At 42.5% G+C, this 27,439-nt stretch overlaps 1 protein-coding gene across 3 annotated transcripts, besides 5 other annotated features; it reads right to left on the bottom strand.

The window, feature by feature from the left end:
• Positions 446–545: an enhancer, noted in NCBI's record as "active region_16767". NCBI's record gives its function as "activates an Ori minimal core promoter by ATAC-STARR-seq in GM12878 lymphoblastoid cells {active_cell/tissue: GM12878}" and the evidence as "EXISTENCE:reporter gene assay evidence [ECO:0000049][PMID:35858748]".
• CDCA7 (cell division cycle associated 7) lies at positions 1,897–16,022 on the bottom strand. 3 transcript variants are annotated; one of them, NM_031942.5, is made up of 10 exons: positions 15,910–16,022; positions 12,057–12,182; positions 11,403–11,639; positions 7,432–7,668; positions 6,999–7,076; positions 5,905–6,099; positions 5,302–5,442; positions 4,462–4,611; positions 3,608–3,744; positions 1,897–3,260 (listed from the first exon to the last, which is right to left on the bottom strand). In NM_031942.5, the coding sequence occupies exons 1-10, from the start codon at positions 15,928–15,930 to the stop codon at positions 3,230–3,232; spliced, it is 1,353 nt and encodes a 450-aa protein (NP_114148.3). In that variant the 5' UTR covers positions 15,931–16,022; the 3' UTR covers positions 1,897–3,229. The 3 variants fall into 3 exon arrangements, with proteins under 3 accessions (NP_114148.3, NP_665809.1, XP_047301913.1); NM_145810.3 differs by lacking the exon at positions 11,403–11,639; XM_047445957.1 differs by lacking the exons at positions 1,897–3,260; positions 3,608–3,744; positions 4,462–4,611; positions 5,302–5,442; positions 5,905–6,099 and adding an exon at positions 6,615–6,894.
• Positions 15,811–16,080: a silencer, noted in NCBI's record as "silent region_12114". NCBI's record gives its function as "represses an Ori minimal core promoter by ATAC-STARR-seq in GM12878 lymphoblastoid cells {active_cell/tissue: GM12878}" and the evidence as "EXISTENCE:reporter gene assay evidence [ECO:0000049][PMID:35858748]".
• Positions 15,811–16,978: a biological region, named in NCBI's record as "NANOG-H3K27ac hESC enhancer GRCh37_chr2:174218644-174219599".
• Positions 16,023–16,978: an enhancer, noted in NCBI's record as "NANOG-H3K27ac hESC enhancer chr2:174218644-174219599 (GRCh37/hg19 assembly coordinates)". NCBI's record gives its function as "activates a minimal SCP1, AML or CMV promoter by ChIP-STARR-seq in primed H9 embryonic stem cells {active_cell/tissue: H9 hESC(primed)}" and the evidence as "EXISTENCE:reporter gene assay evidence [ECO:0000049][PMID:30033119]".
• Positions 16,631–16,720: an enhancer, noted in NCBI's record as "active region_16766". NCBI's record gives its function as "activates an Ori minimal core promoter by ATAC-STARR-seq in GM12878 lymphoblastoid cells {active_cell/tissue: GM12878}" and the evidence as "EXISTENCE:reporter gene assay evidence [ECO:0000049][PMID:35858748]".

Below are 27,439 nucleotides of genomic sequence, written 5' to 3'. Positions count from 1 at the left end.
TCCAGCCCTGCCAGCCTCCCTGTTCAGCAGGGTTTCTACAGTAAGCCACATCAGCCAGGCTGTACCCAGCACCCAAGATGCCCTTGTTCTCCCTGCCAGAACCTTATCAACAACCCGCTCTTCTTTGACTCCTAAGGCAAAGTCAGCTTAAAGAGGGAAAAAAAGAATAAAGTCCTCTCTCTGGTGTTTGGCCTAGCTTTGCCTCTTTGGAGCTGTGTGATACTGGGCATTTTTCTCAACTTATCTGGATTTACTTCCCCATTCTTTCAGACATCTAATGGATGTGAGGTTAGCATTAACATAAAACCTCCTATTCCCCTCAGGACTGAGTACCTAATACTGTCCCCATACTCCCATCTTCTCCTAAAGCACTGAGACCTCTAGTTCCATTCTCCCAGTGACCTCATTTCCTTCCTGGGGCAATCAGAAGTCCCCTCTCACTTTCTTCTAAAAGCAAAATGAAACAAAAACAAAACCTTCCAGCAAAACCCTCTAACTGCAGCCTTTGCCCTTCATTGTGAAAGCCTTTTTAGTTCGTATGTCATTTCTTAACTCCTAAGTAAGAATCAAAACGTAAATACCATCTCTACCTCAGAAAACTCTACCTCAGGTTGAAGAAACAAATATGAAAGCAGTTCCTGGGGCACAGCCACCCTAACACCATTTTTTGCAGCTAGCTGTGAAAACCGGAGTTCTCTCCACTCAGGATGGCCTGTGGAGCTCTGCAGTGGGCCCCGTGGGCTCCCACAGTCAAGGCTGAGGCTGAGCAACTGACCTAAGGCTCCTTATTATAAAATGGGATCATCACAAAACCCAGGAGCTCACCCATGTTTTAAAATGTCTGGTGATGGGAAAATGCCAATTTGTTTTTTTCCCTTCATTCCTGCTGAGAACATTATTTTTGGGTTTTCATCTTAGTTCCCCCATTAGATTGTAAATCCTTTAAGGATAAGGCATCCAAATCAACTGTTACAGTTAATTTTTAATGAAAACCACCATTAGTTCTACTTCCTATTAAAACATGGTATCACCTGAACTTTTCCAAATAAGCATCAATTTATATGAACTCTAAACATTTAAGCTTCCCAATTACATATCCAATAAGGTTGGATTATAATTTGGGTTAAGATCCAAAAAGTTTACAAAAACAAAGTTACTGATTTCTTTTGGATCTACACAGAATACCAGTTGTACAATTTCACTTAGCTTGTTCTTCTCCCCAGATGAGCATGGGGTAAACATGGCTTCTCAAATAACTCTAGAGCAGACACAGTAAACTTTTTCTGTAAAGTGCCAGGTTGTAAATATCTTAGGTTTTGTGAACCATATTGTCTCTGCTTATTTAACAACCCTTTCCAAATGGAAAAAAAAATACTTAGTTCATATGCCATACGAATAAACTCTGCAGCAGCATGTAGCCCACAGGCTGTAGTTTGCCAATCCCTGGTCTAAAGAATTGGACAGCCGGTGTGGTGGTGGCTCTTGCCTGTGACTTTGGGAGGCCAAGGCAGGAGGATCCCTTGAGCCCAGGAGTTTGAAACCAGCCTGAGCAACATAGCAAGACCTGTCTCTACAAAAAATAAAAAAAGAATTGGGCTATGAGAGCTTTTAGACCATGCCTTTTTTGTTGATTCTCACAGTCCTGGAACAAGCCTCAAGGCACAGCATGCATTTAATATATGTTTGAATGGTTGATAAAAGTAAGCCAGGTATTGCAAAGCACATCATAAAGGAAAAGAAAACACTACAAAACTTCATGGGCACATATTGTTTTCTATCAGGCACTGTGGTTGTCTCCGCCCGTTTTCTGATCACAGGTATTAGTCCTGTCACCTAGTGAGGTCCTTTCAAACAAGCTGACCTTAGAACTTCAGAAACTTCAGTCAAAAGGGAGACTTTTTTAGAAAAGGTGGAAATGGCCTTTTATTTAAATATGAGGAAAAAATTAGAATTAAGTACAGTAAGATTATTTTTAAAAAAGCAGACAAGTTAGAACAAACATTTTATTATTAAAATAAACTTTTGTATAAAAGCATTACAGATCAAAAGCTGTATTTACACTTATCGATTCAAGGTCCAATTATGCATCAAACATTGAATGGCACAGCAATGGTTTACATATGCAAGTAAATTGGACATACAAACACTTAGATTCCACCTCTACCAAATACCTTGATTAATGCAAAGAGGAGGGGGAATACTGACACAGGAAACCTGCCCAGAAACTAGACTGGCAGAGATGTCAGGTTAACAAACTGCTAAAAGTTACATCTCCAAAAAGGCACTTATCATTGTTATAAAAGTGCTTAAAATCTAAACTTGAACCTTGTGCCTGGTTTATAAATTTACAAGAAACTGCAAAGAACCACAGACTAGTTTTTAATATCAAGTTTCCATACAAAATTGTCCAAGAATTTATTTGCAATACCTTACATGTGAACTGAAATAAACTTTGCAAACTACAATTATACTAAAGTTTTATACTGAAAATTCAAATCAGCTTACTCATAATCTCCAGATAGCTCTTCCATCATTATTTTAATTAAGTATTACATTGCCCACCAACCTTTGAATTATGATTGTGTAAGCTGGACGCACCACTTACCCTTCGGGCAGAAGAAATTAGGAGAAATTAAGTCTCAACTGTGACAACAACTTGTAACATAAGCGCAATACATGGGATTGAGAGACATCAATCTGCAATAATTACCTAATTTTTCCACATGGTTTTAAGACTTTTGTGCCTTGATTCTATTAAAAATTTCAACTAGTATGAATGCTAAATCATACTCGTTTTTGTGTAAACAAGTTAGAAGGCTCTTCTCTGAAATTCAATAGATCTAGTTAGTTAATACTATTATTGTGTTTCCAAGTGCTTAGGTTTTATGAGGGCTATTTCAACACCAAGTAAATAAAATATGCTTTCATAAAACTGTAATTTAAAAGAAATTCAGAAACTAAGCGGTTGGAGAGGAGCATTGGAAATAGAGGGGGATGCTGTGAGATGGGGGTTGGGAGCAGAGAAGAAACTGCAGGAGGGCAAAGTGTAACTAGCAATATACCTTCTGTGATGCTCCAGAAACACATGTCTGCTAAGATTAACTTGATTGGAGTTTCTTATGAAACAGGCTGATCATCAAGATTTTTAACTCAGGTTTCAGTGAAAAAATTGGAAACTTTTACAAGAAAGATTTGAGAAGTAGAAGGCAGGCAGCAAATTTTCCAGATATTATGCTTGCATTTCAAATTCCTGTTTCAGGCTGTGAAAAACAAAAGGAAATGTGTCAGGACATAGTTTTCAACCAAAGAATTCTCTTTTGAAAGCCTAATTCATTTTTAAAACCATTTTTATTGAGTTATAACATCACTATGGTCAAGTGTGCGCATCTTCAAGTATATTACCTGACTTTTTCATACACACCCACCCACCCGGGTTACCACCACCTAAGTGAAGACAGAAAATGTTCCCATCCCTTCCAGTGTGCCCCGTTCCAGTCAGTCTCCACCCCGCCAGAGATAACCACTCTTCTGACATCTATCATCTTCTCATTAAGACATAAATGAATATAAAATTCAGATGTGGAAGGGAAAAAAAAACACCCACTACCTTTTCAAGTAGGCATGCACATTCCCAAAGCCATGATATTTGGCTAAATACACAAGGACCCCAGTCGCACACCGTCCATCTCGCTGCCGGCAGAAACTGCAGTTGCAGATTCCTCGACAAGGCGGGCAATGCCAGTTCTGAAGGAGGATTGTCAAACGGCACAATTAAGTTAAACCTTACCTCCCCCACCAACTTATCTACATTACATTTAACCCCTTCTTTATGGTTAAAAATTTATATGATTAATAGGCATTAGTCATGCCTAATGTTTCCTAATGCCTAATGCTTCCTTCCAGGAGTGGAAGTTACAAGCAGCTACCAGGGATAAATGGAGCAGCAACTTCCCAGGGACAGTTCAGACCCGAGTATCGTAGAAGCGGCTCATGCCTATGCAGCACCATCCCTCTGAATTCATTTGTGTTCTGAATTAAGAGCACCCTGGGCCGGGCGTGGTGGCTCACACCTGTAATCCCAGCACTTCAGGAGGCCGAGGCGGGTGGATCACGAGGTCAAGAGATCTTGTACCACCACACCATCCTGGCCAATGTGGTGAAACCCCGTCTCTACTAAAAATACAAAAATTAGCTAGGTGTGGTGGCGCGTGCCTGTAGTCCCAGCTACTTGGGAGGCTGAGGCAGGAGAATCGCTTGAACCCAGGAGGAGGAGGTTGCAGTGAGCTGAGATCGCGCCACTGCACTGCAGCCTGGCGACAGAATGAGACTCCATCTTAAAAAAAAAGAAGAGCACCCCATAACAGAAAGGGCTCCACCCCTTCACCAATGCCTTTTTCTGGCCTCATCACAGTTTGTGGCTGACCTTCAAGCCCACAGGACCAACCCCTGGCAGGCACCTACCGGATCCAGCAGAGCATCCCTGACCTCTTCACCATAACGGTTTCGAAGGCAGGGGCCACAGAACTGGCCTCGAACGCCCCAGCAGTCTGGGTTTCTGCAGTTTGTTTTGGTATCAATAGTCTTCTGACGGCATTGATGACAAGTAGAGCCCTACAAATAAGCCATTAAGAAAAAAAACAAAAAAAACCACTGTTTTTCAACAGAGGAAATGGCATATTTACAGAATGTCCCTCTTCGTAGTATAGGCTTACATTTTGTCTATGAATCTCTACATACACATGTATATGCCAGGGTATGAAAAATAACTCAACCAGGTGCAGTGGCTCACACCTGTAACCCCAGCATTCCGGGAGACTGAGGAGAGTGGATCGCTTGAGCCAAGGAGTTCAAGACCAGCCTGGGCAATATGGCAAAACCCCATCTCCACTAAAAATATAAAAATTAGCCTGGTGTGGTAAAACCGCTTTCCCTTTAAGAAAAGGTCTTATTAAAAAATAACCTACCCAAATCCACTTTTATCTTTGGTGTACCACCACACTCCAGCACCTAGCTATGTATACACACATAATAGATATGCAGTAAATATATGTTGAATGAATTGATTTCTAAATTAGGAGAAAAGATTTACCATGACTACAGACTTACTAAGCAGATAATTCCACTGTGAAAGAGGGCTAAATCCCAGGGATACTGTAAAACTTTTCCTTCCTTGTGTGAAAAAAACATATAGGTACAGATTTCACATGCTAGGCCCTTTAGAACCTGGGCAACGCTTAGGGACAGAAGCTCTCTTCCTCTCACAGATGTTTACATTCTCAGGTGTAATTTAGAGGCTCTCACCAGTGAACGGTTATATATCTTCTCTCGAGAATTGCTGCAGACGTTCTCCAACTCCTCCTCTGTAATTTCTTCCACTGGGCGAATTATATGCGGAAGGGTCACGGATGATCTGGAGCGACGGCTTCTGGGCAGGTCATCTTCCTGCATTACAAGGAATACAAAACACAGAACTTCAAAACTGAAAAACTGAAAGAGATTCAAAACTGAAAAAACAGATTCAAATATGAAACACAGAGATTCAAAACTGGCTCTCCCCAGCTTTGAATCTCAGATACTTGACTTGTAATTTCTTCACACAAACTTCAACCTGGAAATCTCTCCTAGAGCTTATGGTAGGGGAACAGGCCATACGCTTACTGTAGCCTAACTGGACATTTTGGAAACGATGCCTACAATTAAGAAGAGATGAAGAAAACCCAATTCTCGCCTGCTAATAAAATTACCAAGTAAGCTTATGTGACGTTTACAGTTCTGAATGGTTAGAGGAAAACATTTACTATGGATCGCCTGGTGTTAAGGATGTGCGTGTACCTGTGCTGTGTATGATGCCAGGCCTACCGAAGATGAGAATCAGAAGAGCAAGTACCAATGCGGAGAACTCACATTCATGTAGCCATCCACGGTCTTCCTCTTTCTCACCAACATGTACTTATCCTCTTCCTCCTCCTCCTCCATGGGTAGAGCGTCAAGGGACCCGAGGATCCGGGACCTTGACCTGGTAAGAGGACGAGCTCTCCGTTCAGGGTTTCTCCTGGAAGCAACACCCGGGAATGTACGCCTTCGCGGTCTCCTTGATTGCTAAACAAAGCACGTATAAGGGAATCCATTTATTCCATAATAAAGAGAAGTAGTACTTTGGGGAATTCATAGCTTCTCCTTAAGGATGTTTTAAGTAAAGAGAGCTCTATTTTTTCTTTTTCTTTGTCCTTTGCATAATGCATGGCAAAATGAGCCTAAAACCTATATGGCCATCTTAATTTTGCTTTTGTAATACCAAGCCCAGTTTCTTTCAACTTGAGAGATGAGCTATTTATTCTTTTACTTAATGAAGATGTAAGAAATGATCTTCTGTTCTAAAAAAAAAAATTTTCTCTGATGTCTCTTGACCCTGTAGAAACACATTCAGTTTCTACACTGCAAAATAGAGGGATATCTGTATGGCTTCCCTCTTTCCATCTTTCCTTTCCTCAGGGAAAGCCAGGAAAAAGAAATCTTTTCTATCACAGCAGACACACCAAATCTCCCTAAGTTGTACCACCTTAATTCCTCAGAATGCAATTGTGTATGATACCAAGCTACAACTTGATAAGAAATTGTGATTTTCTTCTTTTATTTTCATTCTCCAATTTTAAAAACATCTATTGCACATCTACCATGTAGGAGGAATGTGCTCACACTGGAGAACAGAAAAAAGTTTTCAATCTTCATTACCTGCCCATGAGGGGCTTAGTCTAGCTGGGAAGGAAAGAAAGAACCAATCAAAAGGAGTTTAGTGCCACAGGAGCACAGCAAGGAGAGACCAAACTGCCCAGGATTCAAGGAGGATCATCCAGAGATCTGTCAGGGGGTTTCCTCTAGGTCCCCTTCGTTTGTCTAGAAGGCCACACAAATAAAGAAATTAGATTTTTAAATACAACACAGATCGACCTTAGGTGTGCCCAAAACACTACTGTATATAAACAAGAACTGGTACTTACTGAGTCGGAGCCTGGGAGGGGATGTCTTCCACGGAACGAGCCAGGGAAGCTTTCTAATTCAGACATGAGTTTTGCAAGCTAAAAAGGGAGGAAATTAAACTGATATCATTGGCTTAGAATAACTGTCGAAAATGAGCAACTAACTTCTGGAAAATACTCAAGTACATCTCATGGTTTTATATTTGATAGTAAGCTGACACATTCAGAGTTTCTGATTTCCCCTATACACTTAACCAGGCCTTTAACAGATTTAAAAAAAGTAGTTCAGGGAAAGAAACACATTTTGAGGCACACATTGAAGACTTCACAGGTAAACAAAAATAACTTTTTATTCATGTAACAGAAAAAAATAACTTTTGCGTGATGGAACAGATTTAAGTAATGAGTCGCTTAGAGAGGAAAAATTAATTCTAACACAAAGTCAGATACCTACCATTGCTTTGTTTTGCTTTATATTTAAAGCCCTTTTCTCCAAAAAATTCATTCCACTTTCATCTTCTGAATCGGAGTTGGAATCAGTCACAGAATTCTCTGAGGGCTGGCGGGACTCTGCTTTTTTGTTGGTTGCTCCCCTGGTACTCCGCGCTGGAAACTTCATCGCCACCCTGAGAGGTCCAGAGTGCCTGCACTGGCTGCGGGTCCTACAGCCTTCCCGAACTGACTGCAGCCTCTAATCACAACAATTGAGTCATTAGGACTTGATCAGCAGACAAGCTGCATCAGTATAACTACAAAGTCCCTTTTCAATGAGACACTTGTATGAAATGAATTTTAACTGAACATTGATACCTCTGGGTAACAAAATCAGGAACCACAAAGAGTACATCAACAGAGTGCAGTTTAATTCCATGTAGCCCATCTGGACCACACTGTTATAAGCTATTTTCATAGTCCCTAGGCCTGTGGTTCTGAGCCTTTTTTTAAAATGTTAAAATTCCTACCACCTGCTTTTCATTTCTTTAGAAACAGATCTTTATGTATTTTAAAAGAATTCTGACAAGAACAAATGTGTTCTCCTGGCTGGGTGCAGTGGCTCACATCTGTAATCCCAGCACTTTGGGAGGCTGAGGCGGGTGAATCACTTGAGCCTAGGAGTTCGAGACCAGCCTGGGCAACATGGTGAAACCCCGTCTCTGCAAAAAAAAATACAAAAATTAGCTGGGCATGGTGGCGCATGCCTGTGGTCCCAGCTACTTGGAAGGCTGAGGTGGGTGGATGGCTTGAGCCCAGGGGGCAGAGGCTCAGTGAGCCGTGTTCGTGCCACTGTATGCCAGGGCTGGGTTACAGAGCCAGACCCTGTCTTGAAAAAAAAAAAAAGGGAAAAAAATGTGTTCCCCTATAAATATGGCTTCAATGTTTATGGCAATATTAAATTATATTAACAGATCTCAATTCTCTACTTTAAAAAATATATAATATAATATACATAAGATTTATCATTTTAACCATTTCTAAGTATACAAGTCAATGGCATTAAATACATGCACATTGTTGTGCAGCCATCACCACCATCCATCTCCAGAATGTTTTCATCTTCTCCAACTAAAACTCCATCCATACCCATTAAACAGTAATTCCTCATTCCCTCTTTCCCTCCGCCCCTGGCAACCATCATCCTATTTTCTGTCTATACATTTGACTTCTCTAGGTACTTCTCTAATCTACTTTTAGAAGTTCAAAATGAAAATATTTCCAGATTCCAAAAGTAATATAGGTTTTCATCATTAAAAATTTATCCAAATTAGCCATAGGGTAATGTAAATCAAAATCACAATGCAAGGCTGGGTGCGGTAGCTCATGCCTATAATCCCAGCACTTTGGAAGGCCGGGGCAGGCGGATCACCTGACGTCAGGAGTTTGACACCAGTCTGGCCAACATGGTGAAATCCCGTTTCTACTAAAAATACAAAAATTAGCCAGGCACAGTGGCACACGCCTGTAATCCCAGCTACTTGGGAGGCTGAGGCAAGAGAATCGCTTGAACCCAGGAAGCGGAGGTTGCAGTGAGCAGAGATCACTGAGACCACACCACTGCACTCCAGCCTGGGCTACAGAGCAAGACTCCGTCTCCGAAAAATAAAAATAAAAAAAAACACAAAACATAGTGAGACACCACTTCATAGTAGAGCTAAAAAGCAAAAGAAGGCTGGGTATGGTGGCTCACATCTGTAATCCCAGCTCTTTGGGAGGCTGAGATGGGCAGATCACCTGAGGTCAGGAGTTCGAGACCAGTCTGGCCAAGATGGCAAAACCCCGTCTCTACTAAAAATATAAAAAATTAGCCAGGTGTGGTGGCACATGCCTGTAGTCCCAGCTACTCAGATGCTGAGACACAAGAATCGCTTGAACCCAGGAGGCGGAGGTTGTGGTGAGCCAAAATTATGCCACTGTACGCCAGCCTGGGTGACAGAGTGAGACTCTGTCTCAAAAAAAAAAAAAAAAAGCAAAAGGAAAATAAAAAAAAGTATTAGCAAAAATTTGGAGAAACTGTAACCCTCACACACTGCTGGTAGGAATGTAAACTGGTGTAGCCACTTTGTCTATTTCTCAAAAGGTTAAACAGTTACTACATGACCCACAATTCTATTCCTATGTATATACCTAAGAGTATACACAAAAACTACACAAAAACTTGTACATGAATGTTCACAGTAGCATTATTCATAATAGCCAAAAAAGTGCAAACAACCCACTTATCCATCAACTGATGAATGGGTAAATCAAATGTGGCTGATTCACACAACAGAATATTCTGCAATAAAATGAAGAACTAACACATGCCACAACATAAATAAACCTTGACATCATTATCCTAAGTGAAAGAAGCCAGTCACAAAAGACCACATATCATGATTCAATTTTTATGAAATATCCACAACGGGCTAATCTATGACGACAGAAAGCAGACTGATGGTTGCCAGGAGCTGGGGGTGTTGGGAAAGAATAGGGAGTGACTGTTAATGGGTACAGAGTCATTTTTTGGGGTCATAAAGTTATTCCAAAATTGACTATGGTAATGGTTGCAGGTTAAAAAAAAAGAGAGAGAGAAGAAAAAAATCACCCATAAATCCCAGAATTTCACCCATAAAGACTCAGTTTTAACATTAAAATATTTATCAAGGCCAGCAAGGTGGCTCTTGGCTGTAATCCCAGCACTTTTGGAGGCCGAGACGGGAGGATTGCTTGGGCCTAGGAGTTCGAGACCAGCCTGAGCAACAAAGTGAGCCCACATCTCTATAAAAAATTTTTAAAAGTTCCCAGGCATGGTGGTACACGCCTGTAGTCTCAGCTACTGGGTAGGCTGAGGGAGAATCGCTTAAGCCCAGGAGGTGGAGGCTGCAGTGAGCCATGATCACACCAGTGCACTCCAGCCTGGTTGACAGTGCAAGACCCTGTCTCAAAAGTCTTACATGCCCACAAACAGCTTTTTGTACTTTTAGTGTCCATGGATTGAGAGAGTACAAAACAACAAAAACCTTTCATGAGTTCCTAACAATTATAATGAATTGGCATTTTATTAATCATGACAGTATCTTCAAAGAACTGAAACACTGCCCAGAAATTATTCAGGCTATTGACAATGTTTGTGTCGCATCCAGATCTGCAGACTGGACCCCCTGCAACAAACTCCAGTATGCACTGATTTGGACCAAAACACTCCTTGGCCAGGCACTGCCACTTCTATCAATGTTACTCAAACCATGAACCTCAGGCAGTGGATCCATGTCAGACCAGTGAGTTGAAGAGCATGCACTTGATTATCAGTGAATGCACTGCTTCCTTTGTCAAGAAAGTCTTTGGAACAGGAAAATGTGTGCAGAATTAAGCAGTATGCTCAGAAGAGTGGGACCGAGGCACAGCACAACAGTGGCAGCGGCAGTTAAAGGAAGGTAGCGTGCATAGGAAAAGCCAACCAAGGAGCAAAAGTAGCAGCAGGAAGGGCCCTCAATGTCATTATCTGCAATGGAGCTCCTGCACGTAAGTTATCACAGGTTTTCAAGATGCAGCCACAGATCTACTATGAGACCAACATTTATCAAAGGTCTGCTCTATGACAGGCACTAGGCTGGGCACTTGAACTTAAATGCAAATGTAGATAATATTTAGAACTAGTGTGCTTCCTGATTAGGCTGGATTTTTGTGGAAACGAAAATCTGGAGATTGGCCAATTTTATCTTACCAGTTTCCAAATTTTCAGAGCCTACAAAATGTTCATGATTTGTAAGTCCGACTACATTAGTAAACACTGCTTTAAGACATGAAGAAAACACTAAAAATTTTTAAAAGGTCAACAAAGTCTGCTGGCATGACTAAAATCAAAATCACAAGAAAAAAATTTCTAAAAATATGTCATGCCTCTAAATGTATCTTACTTCTTGAAACTGGTGAAATTCTCGAACTCACCATTCCATCTTGTATCTCACTCTCTGAGAAACCGCAAAATGATTCATCGTCAGAGTCGGCATGAAAAATACCGGCCAGTTCGTTAGTGACATCTGGCCTTGGTTTCTGTAAAAATCCACAATGGTCTAATACATCTTGCACCTCACTTTCTGAAAAGCCGCAGAAAGATTCATTATCAGAGTCCTCATAAAAAACATTTGCCAGTTCTTCACTGATATCTGACCTGAATTTAGGTTTCTGTAAAATAAATAAATAAATGCGGTTGTGCATTTTTTTTCTTTTTCAAGAACCAATTTTCCATAAACCGTGCAGAGAGCAAATCACATTTACAAGTGCACTACAAGAGAACAGCTTTTGTTACAAAGAAAAATGGTTCAGAGGTTTACAAATGATTTCTGAGTTGTTATGGCAAATCATCATGCATGTTAGGTTAGGCGACATTTCAAAAGGATAGAATAAGTAGCTAATCTACCTCCAACAATTACTACCTAGAACCACAGCAAAAAGTGAAATGAAATTATAGTGCATACTGTATTTTCATAACGGCTGTATAGAAATGTAGGCAAAAAGCAAGCAGTTTTAATCACGCACAAAGCATCTGGGGCATTTTGAGCACTGCAGACTCAATTCTGTTTATTCTCAGGCAGCACTTACCGTGTTTGCAAAATTATCAGAAGCAAAGCTGTCACAACTGTCATCAGAGGATGACGAGGTTTCCATGGAAATCAACTTCACATATCTGAATTTCTTTAAGTTCTTCTTTACTCTGAGATCTTTCTGCTGCAAATGGAAATAGCAATCCTATTAAGCGTGATGCTTACTTTATTTAACTAAAGACATCATTTTTTTTTAGTTTAGTAGGTTCAAACAGCACAGAGTAGATATGTCCATTTATCATACCCTACATAGAAAAGGAAGTTTGTTAACTGCTACAAAAAATTTTTTCTTTCTTTTTTTTGTAAGAAGCAGGATCTCGCTCTGTCTTCCAGGCTAAAGTGCAGTGCTGAGATCATAGCTTACTACAACCTGGAACTCCTGAGCTCAAGCAAGCCTCCTGCCTCAGCCTCCTGAGTAGACAGGACTACATGCATGTGCCACCATGCCCAGCTAACTTATTTTATTTCTTTTTAGAGATGGGGTCTTGCTATGTTGCCCAGGTTGGTCTCAAACTCCTGGGCTCAAGTGATCCTCCCACCGGAGCCTCCCAAAGGGCTTGGATTACAGGCATTAGCTACTGTATCTGGACCCAAAAATCTTTAAAACCAGGTCAAATTCTTTTTTTTTTTTTTTTTGAGACGGAGTCTCGCTGTGTCGCCCAGGCTGGAGTGCAGTGGCGCGATCTCGGCTCACTGCAAGCTCCGCCTCATGGATTCACGCCATTCTCCTGCCTCAGCCTCCAGAGTAGCTGGGATTACAGGCGCCCGCCACCACGCCCGGTTAATTTTTTGTATTTTTAGTAGAGACGGGGTTTCACCGTGTTAGCCAGAATGGTCTCAATCTCCTGACCTCGTGATCTGCCTGCCTCGGCCTCCCAAAGTGCTGGGATTACAGGCGTGAGCCACCGCGCCCGGCCAAAACCAGGTCAAATTCTAAGAAGGGATCCCTTTGCAGGAAAATTGTAAAGACATTTATCAATTTATTCAAACATCTGTAGAGCTACCTCTCAACCCACCTTTATGAGCCCCTAATCTTTAGCTCTTAGCATTATACTGAGCCCCACAGGAGATTTTAATGCTAAACTCCTAAAATCCAACCTGTTTTTTTAAAAAAATTAAACTGTACTTCTAAAAGGAAATTTCAAAAGTACAAAAGGGGAGAAAGATTTTTCTCCCTCAGCCAAAATCAAGCTAATGAGGTATTTTTATGTAAGCTTTGGGCTATGTACTGTGATGCTAATTTCACAAACTACAAAAACTGGGCAGGACCTCTACTTCAAGATGGCAGGCTTCCAAGCAGGCCCCTTTCCAATCAAGAGGGCTATCGTGATTTCCACAGAAGTCCTTACAAAGCAAATACATCAAACGCTTCAACAAATGGTACAAGGAGCCAAGTTAAAGATCAAATAGCACTCCAAATGCAGGTGGGATACCGGATTCCATTTTAGCACTCTATTACTTGAGGCTGTCATTCAGTTCTTGTTGCTGTCCCTTTGCTATACAAGACTTAAGTTTTTAAAAGTCCTTTTATAAAGTGCAAATTACTTACATAGAAATGCTTCATTCATTCATAAATACTGAACAGCCTGGCACTGCTCTCAGAAAATGTAATTGGCATCTATCTTGTATAAAAAAAGGATAGTGGTTTGTCATTTCTTAATATTTAACGAGATTTCCTAAGTGTTGCATTAGGTCCTGTGTTTTTATTCCTTAAATGGGGCCATGGAATAGCAGAAGTGATTCCTTACACTGAAAACTTTGAAAGGGCAAGCTCTGGTATAGATTCTACAAAATATGCTAAGATGTAAGATGTCAGGTGACCAGAACATTCTTGCCCTCCTTCTTGGCCTAACATTACGCATTTCAGTCTCTTGCAGATAAAGTTATTTTCATGATGATGGCACTCCCAACATCCCTATACCCCTAAGTAAACTCCGTTCAATCATCTTAGGAAGTTTTTGTCTTTTGCCCTCTTAACAAGGCAGGACAACGTGTAAAAGGTAGAGCTACTAAATATAAAGGTTAGGTGTATGTGTAGGGGGGTGGCTCACACCTGTAATCTCAGCGCTTTGGGAAGCCAAGGTGGGAGGATCACTTGAGCCCACGAGTTCGAGACCAGCGTGGGGAATATGGTGAAACCCCGTCTCTACTAAAAACACAAAAATCAGCCGGATGTGGCGGTGCGTACATGTAATCCCAGTTACTTGGGAGGCTGAGGTGGGAAGACTGCTTGAGCCCGGTAGGCTGCAGTGAGCCGTGACTGTGCCACTGCACTCCAGCCTGGGACACAATGAATGTTGGGAGCTGAAAAGGATCTCAGATCCCATTTTCCAGATGAGGATATTCAAGGCCCCAGGAAGGTGTAATAGACTGCAAGATCACAGGGGCAGGAAGGAGAACTCAAGTCTGCCATCTTCTTAAGCAGCAGTGTTCATCGCATTACTGCAGGAATTACCACCCTTTACTCATCAATCTACCTGCAAGCAGTCAGAGGCCCCAGACAGCCTCAAAGGCGGCATTCTATTGGAAGCTGTCCGAGAAATACAGGCTGAGCTTTAACAAGTCAGCACAAGCCAAGAGTTATTTACCAGGCAAACGTATCTTTGGAGGAAAAGCCACAAAAAAGCAGCAAGGCAAATAGTCAAGACGGAGATGAACTTCTTTGGCAGGTAAGTAATAACTAATACCATTTATAGTAGGCGTTTTTCGTGCCAGGCACTATGTTAAGTACACTTTCACGTCAGGTTTAATTCTTTGCAACAAAGGTGCTATCGTTATTCTCACTTAGCCAATGAGGAAACTGAGGCTCAGGAAAGCGAAATGGATTACTCAAGTCCCATGGTGGCTCAGATTTGAACTCAGGCATGTCAGGTTCCAAGACCAGCTACACATGGTTTTCTTCATCCGGAAAGCCAATGCCCAGCTCCACCGGGGCGGCGACTCAGCTCTGAAACCACGCCCCATCGCACCCACCCCCGCGAGGGTCCCTAACCCCTGATATTTATTTTAAACATGTCATTGTCTTCCGTTTCACCCAACCCCCACTCTTCTACCCTCTCCAGGAGCCCGACCCTACGTTCTGGCTTCCGTTAGAGCAAAAAGTAACGTTCCACTCAGAGCAACGTCCTGCAGCTAAGAGTAAGGCTGGGGGGTGGGGGGTGGGGGGTTGGGGGTTGGGGTGGAGGAAGTAGGAAACGAGCAAATGGTCGGCGAACGCTTTGACCCACCAAGCCCTTTAAATGCACTTAACCACCGCCCGGGACTACGGTCGCTTCACACTGCGTGCGCAGCCCAAGTTCTAGGAGACCGGTTCGCAAGACCTTAAACCTCAGACGCGCTGGCCCTCAGCGGTTAGAAGCGGACGCGTCTCTTGCCGGGCGGGGTGCGCGCCCAAGGGCCACCCACTGAGCGCGGGTATAGACGCGGCGAGCCACGCACTGGCTCCGAGTTGTGTGCGGGAAAGGGCTGGGCCGCTGCGGGACAACCTCCCAGGGGGCAGGCAGGCTGGCTCTGCCTGGCAGGCAAAATCGGGACCGGCCAGCGCTCCCGGCCGCTGTCCGGCCTTTGGCGGACGCACGTGCCTAGGGCTTTCCAGCGCTGCTAGCCATCCTGCAAACGACTCAAGTCTCCACGCCGCCCGCACTTCGGGTGCGCACGCCACGCAGGAACGTCCCCATGGCCCTCAGTTATCCCAGGTGCACAAAATCAGGGGCTTGCCCAAGCGGGCAACGCCTAGGCAGGCCACCAGTTAAGGCAGCGCTAGGCTGCGGAGTTGGAGAGGGTCGGCCCGCGCCCGCCTGCGTCCAGCACCCACCGCGCCCGCCCCTCGGGTTCGCCCGCCCAGCCCTCACCGGCACGCGGCGAGCGTCCATGCTGGTGGCGGGTGCCCAGATCGGCGCTTGGAGCGGGGAGAGCGGAGCAGCCGCGCGGTCAGCGGTCCCACAGCAGGAGGAGCAGCAGCAGCGCGGCTGGCAGGCTGGGCGCGCCGACCCGGGCCCGGAGGGGCGGGGCTCGGGCTGTCTTTCCCGCGTTGGGACACAGGTCCTGCAAGCTGTGGTAACGGCCAGACATGGCGCAAGACTAGGTGGCCCCCTGGAAAAAACACGACCCCCCTATATATTCTGACCTCAAAGGATAGCCTTGGGCACTCCTAAAATCCCCTTTGAGAAAGGGGGGCTTTAGGGGCTACGGGGACCACTCTCCTTGTGCAGCTGCGCGGTCCTGAGCGAGTGGCGCGAAAATGGTTCGTATTGCCCCGGGGTTAGCTGTCTGATTTGCAAGAATTTTCGTGGTGGCGGAGGAAAAGTGGAGTCTGGGGGGTAAAGGAGAGCAGCGTGAGGGTGGCGCGGGTCACGCACCATGGCGTTTAGCACTTTCATTGCTGCGTGCGGTTTACAAGATTTAAAAAATCATAGAATCCAGCACGAACTCCACCCTTCATAATCGAGTTCACCGCCCCTGGATGTAGCACCTCTTATCTGGGAACCACACCATTATCTGAAGCAATAAAATGAGTTAAATCCTGATCTTTCTTTCCAAAAAGCACAGGAAGCCGACTTGTTTACTTGTGGTTTTCAAAGTAGAAGAAAAGCCGCAGCAGCTTGATGAAGACGTCTATAGTATAGTTAACCTTTAACGATTATCTGTTGGGGATTGAAACTAAAGATTGAACAATTGTGGCTTGATGATCTTCTCTGTCTTCAGAATTGAGAACTACCCTGAGTCAGTGCGAACGAGAAAACTTTTCATTGCCCTTTTAACCAAACTTGGCATTACAACGAAAAAATGAAATAAAGCGAGGCTTTTTGTGTGCGTGAAGAGCAAAACTTGCTTCTACAAGAAAAAGTAAATTTAGTTTCTTTAGAAGACACTAATTATACTCTTAACATTTAAAACAAGCGCTTGAAATGAAAACATTCGCATTTCCCCCTCATTTCAAAACTTTTCTCTGGGGAATAATTAATTCCTTTGCAGTAAGAGAGTGCATGGACATACTGTGTTCCTCTCTTGGTGTACTGAATACAAAAACTGTGAGCAAGTAAATAATGCCCGAGGACAATGGATTGGAAGGAGTCTTCCAGCCTTTCTTAAATATACCTACCCAGTAATCACTCTGCCACTGTGCAAGGGACAAAGAGCTCAAGGTCTAGAAGGTGAGTGCCAGGAGGAGAGGCTATCGGTGGGTGGTGAAATTACGGAATTACAGGGCCCTCAGTAAGTATTTGTTGAATGAATAAACATTTGGGAATATAATTTTGTGCCACTAAAGCTAAATATATGAAAATTTGGAATTACTAGATCCATGAAGCAGGGGAAGATTAAGTCACTTTGCCTGTGAAAGGTTCTGATAGGGAAATTTTTAGTCTTCCTGGGAGCACAAGAAAATAATTTGGTGTATGTGTTTTTTAAGGATAAGATCTCTGGTCTATTCGTCTTTTTAGTAATCAGGAAAATGCAAATTAAAACAAGTGTCACTGGAAAGGGGTCCCGATCTAGACCCCAAGAGAGGGTTCTTGGATCTTGCACAAGAAAGAATTCAGGGCAAGTCCGTAAAGTGAAAAAGCAAGTTTATTAAGAAAGTAAAGGAATAAAAGAATGGCTACACCGTAGATAGAGCAGCCCGAGGGCTGCTGGTTGCCCATTTTTATGGTTATTTCTTGATTGTATGCTAAACAAGGGGTGGATTATTCATGGCTCCCCTTTTTAGGCCATATAGGGTAGCTTCCTGATGTTGCCATGGCATTTGTAAACTGTCATGGCGCTGGTGGGAGTGTAGCAGTGAAGACAACCAGAGGTCACTCTCCTCGCCATCTTGGTTTTGGCTGGCTTCTTTACTGCAGCCTGTTTTATCAGCAAGGTCTTTATGACCTGTGTCGTGTGCTGACCTCCTACCTCTTCCTGTAACATAGAATGCCTTAACCTCCTGGGAATGCAGCCCAGCAGGTCTCAAGGCTTATTTTGCCCAGCTCCTATTCAAGATGGAGTTGCTGTAGTTCAAATGCCTCTGACACAGGAGATACAATTTCACTCAGACTGGCAAAATTTAAAGCGCCTGATAAGACCAGATATTGTTAAGAATATGAGAAACTCCCACAATGATGTTAGTAGTGTAAATTTTTAACTTTGCAGAGCAATTTGGGAATAGAGGCGTACCTCATTTTATTGCACTATGCTTAAAATTAAAGGTTTGTGGCAACCCTAAGTATAGCAAGCTTATCAGTGCCATTTTTCCAAAAGCGCATGTTCATTTAGTGTCTCTGTGTAACGTTTTGGTAATTCTTGCAATATTTCACCTTTTTCATTATTTTTATATCCATAATGGTGATCTGCAATCTGATCTTTGCTATTACTGTTGTAATAATTTTGGAGAGTCACAAATTGTACCCATATAAGATGGCAGACTTCATCAATAAATGTTGTATGTGTTCTGATTGCTCCACTGACCAACCATCCTGTCTCTCTATCCTCATGCCCCCCTATTCACTGAGATAGAACAATATTGAAATTAGGCCAGTTAATAACTCCACAATGGTCTCTGAGTATTGAAATGAAAAGAAGAGTCACATATCTCTCACTTTAAATCAAAAGCTAGAAATGATTACACTTAGTGAGGAAGGCATGTTGAAAGCCGAGATAAGAAGAAAGCTAGACGTCTTGTGCCAAACAACCAAGTTGTGAATGCAAAGGAAAAGTTCCTGAAGGAAATTAAAAGTGCTACTCCAAAGAACACACGAACGATAAGAAAGCAAAACAGGCTTATTGCTGATAGGGAGAAAATTTAAGTGGTCTGGAGAGAAGATCAAACCAGCCACAACATTCCCTTAAGCTAAAACCTAATCTACAGTAAAGCCCTAACTCTCTTCAAACTCTGTGAAGGCTGAGAGAGATGAGGAAACTGCAGAAGAAAAGTTGAAAGCTAGCAGAGGTCAATTCACAAGGTTTAAGATTCACAAGGTTTAAGAGAAAAAGCCATCTCTATTACATGAAAGTACAAGGTGAAGTAGCAAATTATTCAGAAAACCTAGCTAAGCTAATTAATGAAGGTGGCTACACTAAACAAAAGATATTCAAAGTAAACAAAACAGCTTTCTGTTGGAAGAAGATGCCATCCAGGACTTTTATAGCTAGAGAGAAGTCAATGTCTGGCTTTAAAGCTTCAAAGGACAGCCTGACTCTCTTGTTAGGGATGAATGCAGCTGGTAACCTTAAATTGAAGCCATTGATCATTTACCATTCCACGTTCTTAATTCCTTAAGAATTATGCGACACCTATTCTGCCTGTGTTCTATAAACAGAACAACAAAGCCTGAATGAGAGCACATCTGTTTACAGCGTAGTTTGCTGAATATTTTAAGCCCACTCTTGAGACCTGCTCGGAAGAAAAGATTCTTTTCAAAATATTACTGCTCATTGACAGTGCCCCTATTCACCCAAGAGCTCTAATGGAGATTGATGAATGTTTTCATGCCTGGTAACACAGCATCCATTCTGCAGTCCGTGGACCAGGGAGTAATTTTGACTTTAAAGTCTTATTATTTAAGAAATACATTTCATGGCTGGGCACGGTGGCTCATGCCTGTAATCCCAACACTTTGGTAGGCTGAGATGGGCAGATCATGAGGTCAGGAGATGGAGCAAGTAAATAATGCCTGAGGACATGGGCATCCTGGCTAATATGGTGAAACCTTGTCTCCACTAAAAATACAAAAAATTAGCAGGGTGTGGTGGTGGGCGCCTGTAGTCCCAGCTACTCGGGAGGCTGAGGCAGGAGAATGGCGTGAACCCAGAAGGCAGAGCTCGCAGCAAGCCAAGATTGCACCACTGCACTGCAGCCTGGGCAACAGAGTGAGACTCCGTCTCAAAAAAAAAAAAAAAAAAAGAAATACATTTCATAAGTCTGTAGCTGCCATAGATAGTGATTCCTCTGATGGATCTGAACAGAGTCCATTGAAAACCTTCTGAAACGGATTCATCATTCTACATACTATTGAGAAATTTGTGATTCCAGGAGTTTACATTCTAGTAGGAGAGCAGAAGTAAACAACAACAAAAAAATAGTTTCAGGTGTGCTAACTTCCGTGAAGAAAAATAAAAGCAAGGTGAAAGCTAAAGACAGGACAAGGGGAGAGAAAATGAAAGAGGTACAAATTTAAATAAGAGAAACAGAAAAGGCTTCTCTGAGAAGGTGACACCTGAGGAGGAACATGAACAAAGTCAGGAAGGAAGCTACAGGAAGAAGAGGAAAGTGCTGGTTTCAGGCACAGTACACAGCTGGCCCAAAGGCTGTAAGGCAGTGCACAGCAAGGCACACTACAGAAAGCCAGGCAAAGAGGGAGAGAGCCCAGATCATGTGGGACCTTCTTGGCCATGGGAAGAACTTTGGATTTATTCCAGATATGATGGGAAGTCATTGAAGGATTCTGAGAAAAAGAAAGACCCAATCCGACCCCATGAACTGTGTGGGTCGTAAACTGAAGGAGAGCCAAGAGTGAAAGCTGGGAGACCTATGGGCTCCTGGAGAAGCAAATGATGGCTTGGACTGGGATAGTTGTGGGGTCAGATGAAGTCAGATTTAAGATATATGATTATTATAAAAGTTAGAGCTAACTGGACTTGAGGGATGGATGGTTCATTCATATTAGCATTATGTATCATAGTAAAATACTGCAGTCAACATGCCCCTCAGAAGGGAAATGGATACATGAACAGTGGTGTATTTGTACAATGGAATCTGAACAGTAGTTCAAATTAATGGCATAGCTTACTGGCATCATTGTAGAGAAATCTTAACAGTGTTCAATGAAAAAGCAAATAGTAAAAGTGTCTGTAAAGTGTACCCTTTATGCAAATTTTAGAAACACAAAACATACCTAAGTTGGGAGAGTATAAAAACCTAGACAAGCAGAATAGCACAGAAATTAACTTAAGGTGGAAAAGATGGAGGAAAGAGGCAAGGGTGGGTCCTTTGATTCTATTATTAATGCTTTCTTCTTTTCTTTTTCTTTTTTTTTTTTTAAAAAAAGGCTGGGTCTTGCTATGTTGCCCAGGCTGGAGTGCAGTGGTGTGATCATAGCACATTACAGCCTCCAACTTCTGGCCTCAAGTGATCCTCCCACTTCAGCCTCCCACATAGCTGGGACTATGGGTGTACATAACTGCACCCAGCTATCATTAATGCTGTTAAATTAAGTTTAGCCTAAAGCCGCCTCCTTACATATTTTAAGTTCAGCCTAAAGCTTCTCCATACACAATGAACTGTAACCCAACTGGGTATATAAACAGACTAACTTACTCTTGTACCAACCACCATGTTTTGGCCAGTCAAGGGTGACCAACTGTTCAAGCTGTGTTCAAATAAGGCAAACCCTGAGCTGTAACCAATCCAGCTGTTGGTGTAATTCACTTCTGTTTTCTGTACCTCACTTTTTCTGTCCATAAATCTTTTTCCACCATGCAGCTGCTCTGGAGCCTCTCTGAACCTACTCTGGTTCAGGGGATCCCCGATTTGCAAACATTCTTTGCTCCATTAAACTGCTAAATTTAATTTGTCTAAGGTCAGTGCTTTAACAATGCTTTCTTGAAAAATAAAAACCATGGGAAGCAAATATGGCAAATTGTTAAATGTGACAAATGCCAGTGATTAGTACATGGGTGTCTTTTACATGTTTACTTTCTGTGCTTTTTTTTTTCTTTTTTTTTTTTAATCTGAAACATTTAATAATTTTAAAATATTTAAGTTTTGGAGAGTTTGTTCTGACAATCAATATCAATATATTTATTGTGTTAAATATACAGTTCCTTTACAGGGTCCTATAAATAGGAATGCAAGTTTGTCATGCAATTTTAGATGCCTCATAAAGGTTTTAAGTCACTGTATTAATCACACACTGGTAAATATTTTCATTTTAAATGAAAGACACAAAATGAATAAGCATGGAAAATCAGTGTCCAGGGAAAGATGATGGCACAGGCCACAGCAAAAGGTAAAAGGAAATGACATTTTATAAGTACATACTTACACAGACACTACTTGATATGAGGGCTGTTAATACAACAGGTACTCAGTAAATACTTATTATATTTATAAGTATTATTTGTATAATTTAATTTAATTATTTTTTAAGTTCCAGGGTAAATGTGCAGGATGTGATGTGCAGGTTTGTTACACAGGAAAATCTGTGCCATGGGTGGTTTGCTGCACCTAGCAACCCATCACCTAAGTATTAAGTCCTGCATGCATTAGCTATTTTTCCAACTAAAGTGGTTGTAGGTGGAATTTTATTTTATTTTTACATTTTTTCTTTTTTGAGACAGGGTCTCACTCTCACTCAGGCTGGAGTGCAGTGCTCAAGCCATGGCTCACTGCAGCCTCAACTTCCTGCGCTCCAGCAATCCACCTACATCAGCCTCCCAAGTAGCTGGGGCCACAGATGTAGGCCACCACATCTGGCTAATTTTTCTATTTTTTGTAGAGATGGGGGTTTCGTCATGTTGCTCAGACTGGTCTCGAACTCCTGGGCTCAAGCAATCCGCCTGCCCTGGCCCCTCAAAGTGCTGGGATTACAAGCATGAGCCACCATCCCCAGCCCTGGAATTTTAAATCTTCAAAATATTCTAAAATATCAATCTCTTGTTAAAGAGCTTTGAATTCCCTGGGCTACTACAAACCCTAAGAATTCTGTGTTTCTCTATACCTTTTATTCACCTTGCACAAAGAATTCCATTTCCTATTATTAAGTTTGAAACTTGACTGTGAGGTTCAGAGCACTTACATAATGAGGTAAGTTAAACTTCAACTCAGAATGACTGGTTTTCGGACAAAGAATGCAACCGCTAATAGCATGTATCATTTTTAGATGAGATTTAGAAACAATGCTAATGTTTCATGTGCTGCTCTCGGTCCCATGCACCCATCTCTCAGGCGGTATAACATGAACCCAAGCGCCCCTGTAAACCAGAGACCTTCAATAGACCAGATACCCCTGGAGACAAAGGGCTGGAGCAATTTCACTGTGTTTGTGGATATAGACAGTTTGCAGTCTGTCAGGTCACAAATCTCTGTTTTAAATAACCCCTAATTACAGATTTACGTCTCCAGTGCCTGCTTTCAGGATGCATAAAGGCAATATAGCTAAAAGGCCTAACGTTAGGCTTCAATTGTCAAAAGCTGCTCTGTTGGAGGGCCCAGCCCATTATCACCCTGGCTGTTTGGTTCACAAATGCTGGCTCTCCAAGCCATATTGGTATGTTTGTTTTGCATTGTATGTCAACACTGTTTTAAGTAGATCAGTTTGCTGACATCTGACACCTGATTAGAAAAAGGAATATGGAAAAATGAGTGCAAATCTGACCTTTTTTTGGCAAGAAGAAATATTTGTTTTTCCGTGGATGAACATTGTCTATTGTGAAATATATTAACTGCTAGTGTTAAAACATCATTAAACACTTTGCACAAGGGAAAGTCAAGCTTTGATTACTGAATCAGTCAGTTCCAACACTATGGAAGCTGAATTACAGCCAAAACCTAACTCAGCTTACTTCTTACCATCCACAGTTTCCCTGTCACTTGTTCACCTTTCCATAATTTCTTTTTTCCATTTGGCAAAGTTTTTGTCTGTTTTTATGTAAGAATTTTTCATTGTTTTTAATTTGATCATTTTTTTCTCTGGAAACACCCATAAAAGGTGTTAAATGTCTTTGTTCATCACTTAGGCAACTTATTCTAAATTGTCCTAGTTGTGAATTATATAAATCATTTATGTCTTCTTCAGATCTGTTCCTTTCAAGCAACTCTTTGGAAAGAGAATTGCTGCAGAGAGAAGAACTTTATTAACTAAATGGAGACTTAGGGCTCATTTGTAGGTGGTTTAATTTCTGAAGTAAACCAATGCAAGATATTGGTAGGGGGTCCCAGGGAAGAGGCTAATCTGCACATTGTCCTATCAACCTAGAATTCAAAATTAGTCCCCCAGCAGGCCTCAAAAGTTAAACACAGGGCCAGGCCCAGTGGCTCACGCCTGTAATCCCAACACTTTGGGAGGCTGAGGTGGGCGGATCACCTGAGGTCAAGAGTTCCAGACCAGCCTGGCCAACATGGTGAAACCCCATCTCTACTAAAAATACAAAAAATTAGCTGGGCGTGGTGGCAGGCATCTGTAATCCCAGCTACTCAGGAGGCTGAGGCAAGAGAACCACTTAAACCCAGAAGGCAGAGGTTGCAATGAGCTGAGATAGCACCACTACACTCCAAGTCCAACCTTGGAGACAGAGCGAGACCCTGTCTAAAAAAAATAAAATAAAATAATAAAATAAAATTTCGATCCTTTGAACATGGATAAAACTTAAAAATATTATGCTGAGTGAAATAAGCCAAGCACAAAAGGATAAATATTGCCTTATTTCACTCATATGAGGTACTTGGAATAGGCAAATTCATAGAAACAGGCCAGGCACAGTGGCTCACACCTGTAATCCTGGCACTCAGCCTGGGAGGCTGAGGTGGGTGGATTACTTGAGGTCAGTTGCCGCGAAGAAGAACCAGCACTGAGACAAAGGATTTCTCAGCAAGGCAAATTTACTTTGGCAGAAGGGTGCTGCCTGTGTCAGTCACGATCACAAGAGCACACAGAACAAAGTAGAGTAGGGATTTTTATTCGTAATGCAGATTCTACCTCTGTGTCTTTCCCCCATTGGCTGGGGTTGGACTGCACAGTCTAAACTAGTCCTGATTGGTGAAATATTCAAACTTTCTTAGATAAGGTAGGCGCGTAATAGAGGAGAGAGGGAGAGGAGGAAGCAGTCACTTCTGGGGGACTAAAAAGCTAACCTATTCCCACATAAGGAAAGGAATGTGGACTGGGGCTTATCATATCTAGGCATATTTAGACAGGTTAATGCCCAGCAAAAGCCGGGGTGGGGGGGTACTTGGAATTTAGAGAATAAAGAATGGGGGAACTTGGCAAACTGTTTGAAGAGGAACCTAGCTGTATCTAACATCAGGAGTTTGAGACCAGCCTGGCCAACATGGTGAAACTCTGTCCCTACTAAAAATATGAAAAAATTAGCTGGGCATGGTGGTGCATGCCTATAGTTCCAGCTGCTCCAGAGGCTGAGGCATGAGAACTGCTTGAACCCAGGAAGTGGAGATTGTAGTGAGCTGAGATCACACCACTGCACTCCAGCCCAGGCGACAGAGCAAGACAGTCTCAAAAAAAAAAAAAAAAAAAAAAAAAATCATAGAAACAGAAAGTAGAATACCTGTTACCTGGGACTGGGTGGAAAGTGAATGGGAAATTATTGCTTAATGGATACAAAGTTTCTGTTTGAGATGTTGAAAAAGTTCTGGAAATGGTGATATGTTTGCACAGCACTGAATATACTTAATGTCACTGAATTGTACACTTTAATTTAATTTAATTTTTTTTTTCTCAAGATGGAGTCTTGCTCTCTCGCCCAGGCTGGAGTGCAGTGGCGCAATCTCAGCTCACTGCAACCTCCACCTCCCAGGTTCAAGCAATTCTCCCACTTCAGCCTCCCAAGTAGCTGGGATTACAGGTGCGCACCACCACACCTGACTAATTTTTGTATTTTTAATAGAGACAGGGTTTCACCATGTCGGTCAGGCTAGTCTCAAACTCCTGACCTGATCCACCCACCTCGGCCTCCCAAAGTGCTGGGATTACAGGCGTGAGCCACCATGCCTGGTCTGAATTGTATACTTTAGAATGGTTAACATCTACTAGGTACCCATAAAAATTAAAAAATTAAAAAGTAAAAAGAAGTGTTTAATAAGAATGGTTAAAATGGTAAGTTATATGTTCTGTGAGGGGTTTTTATTGTTTTTTGTTTTTTGGGGTTTTTTTTGAGATGGAGTCTCACTCTGTTGCCCAGGCTGGAATGCAATGGTGGGATCTCTGCTCACTGCAACCTCCGCCTCCTGGGTTCAAGCGATTCTCCTGCCTCAACCTCCCGAGTAGCTGGGATTATAGGCTCGCATAACCACACCCTGCTAATTTTTGCTTTTTCAGTAGAGACGGGTTTCACTGCGTTGGTCAGGCTTGTCTCAAACTCCTAACCTCAAGTGATCCACCCACCTCAGCCTCCGAAAGCGCTGGGATTACAGGCGTGAGCCACCATGCCCAGTCTGTTCTGTTTTGTATGTTTTATCACATGTTTTTTAAATAAAAGCCTACCAGAAATCTTGATTCCATGAGGTTTCTTTTTTTTTCTTTTTCTTTTTCTTTTTTTTTTTTTTTTTGAGACGGAGTTTTGCTCTTGTTGCCCAGGCTGGAGTGCAGTGGTGCAATCTCGGCTCTCTGCAACCTCCGCCTCCCAGGTTCAAGCGATTCTCCTGCCTCAGCCTTCCAAGTAGCTGGGATTACAGGCACCTGCCACCATGCCCAGCTAATTTTTTGTATTTTTAGTAGAGACGGGGTTTCATCATGTTGGCCAGGCTTGTCTTGAACTCCTGACCTCAGGTGATCCACCCGTCTCAGCGTCCCAAAGTGCTAGGATTACAGGTGTGAGCCACCATGCCTGGCCTTTTTTTTTTTTTTTTTCTTAAGACAGGTTCTAGCTCTGTCACCCAGGCTAGAGTGCACTGGTGCAATCTTGGCTCACTGCAACCTCCACCTCCTGGGTTGAAGTGATTCTCCTGCCTCAGCCTCCCGAGTAGGAAGGACTACAAGCATGTGCCTCCCGAGTAGCAAGAACTACAAGCATGTCATCCCAGGCATGAGCCACCACACCTTGCAGATTCCATGAGGTTTCATGGGGTCAGGTTAAAGGTGTTGAGAACAAAGAGGAGAACCACATTCTCATGCCAGCCACTCCCAGCTTTCCAGAGAGGAGAAGAGATTACTGTTGGAAATATGATAGAATTATTAATAAGGTATAAAGAAATCATAGTTCACATCTCCTTTTTGTTTTAATAGTGTGTAAAGATTGCAATTTTTTTTTTTTTTTGAGACAGAGTCTTGCTCTGTCACCCAGACTGGAGTGCAGTGGCGCGATGTTGGCTCACTGCAACCTCTGCCTCCTGGGTTCAAGTTACTCTCCTGCCTCAGCCTCCTGAGTAGCTGATACTACAGGCATGTGCCACCACACCTAGCTAATTTTTTGTATTTTTAGTAGAGATGGGGTTTCACCGTGTTAGCCAGGATGGTCCCGATCTCTTGATCTCGTGATCTGCCCACCTCGGCCTCCCAAAGTGCTGGGGTTACAGGTGTGAGCCACTGCACCTGGCCAAGATTGCAATTTTTTAAAATAATGATAAAAATGTTTCACTATTATGACACATAATCTCTATACCCACAAAGATGTATTCACTTCTTGGGCCATCAGGAAGAAATGTGATGAAAACATTCAGAATTGTCAACTAGC

Source organism: Homo sapiens, chromosome 2 (assembly GCF_000001405.40).
Source record: "Homo sapiens chromosome 2, GRCh38.p14 Primary Assembly".
In the NCBI taxonomy this organism is placed as follows: Eukaryota; Metazoa; Chordata; class Mammalia; order Primates; family Hominidae; genus Homo; species Homo sapiens.
This window is presented reverse-complemented; position numbering and strand designations above follow the sequence as displayed.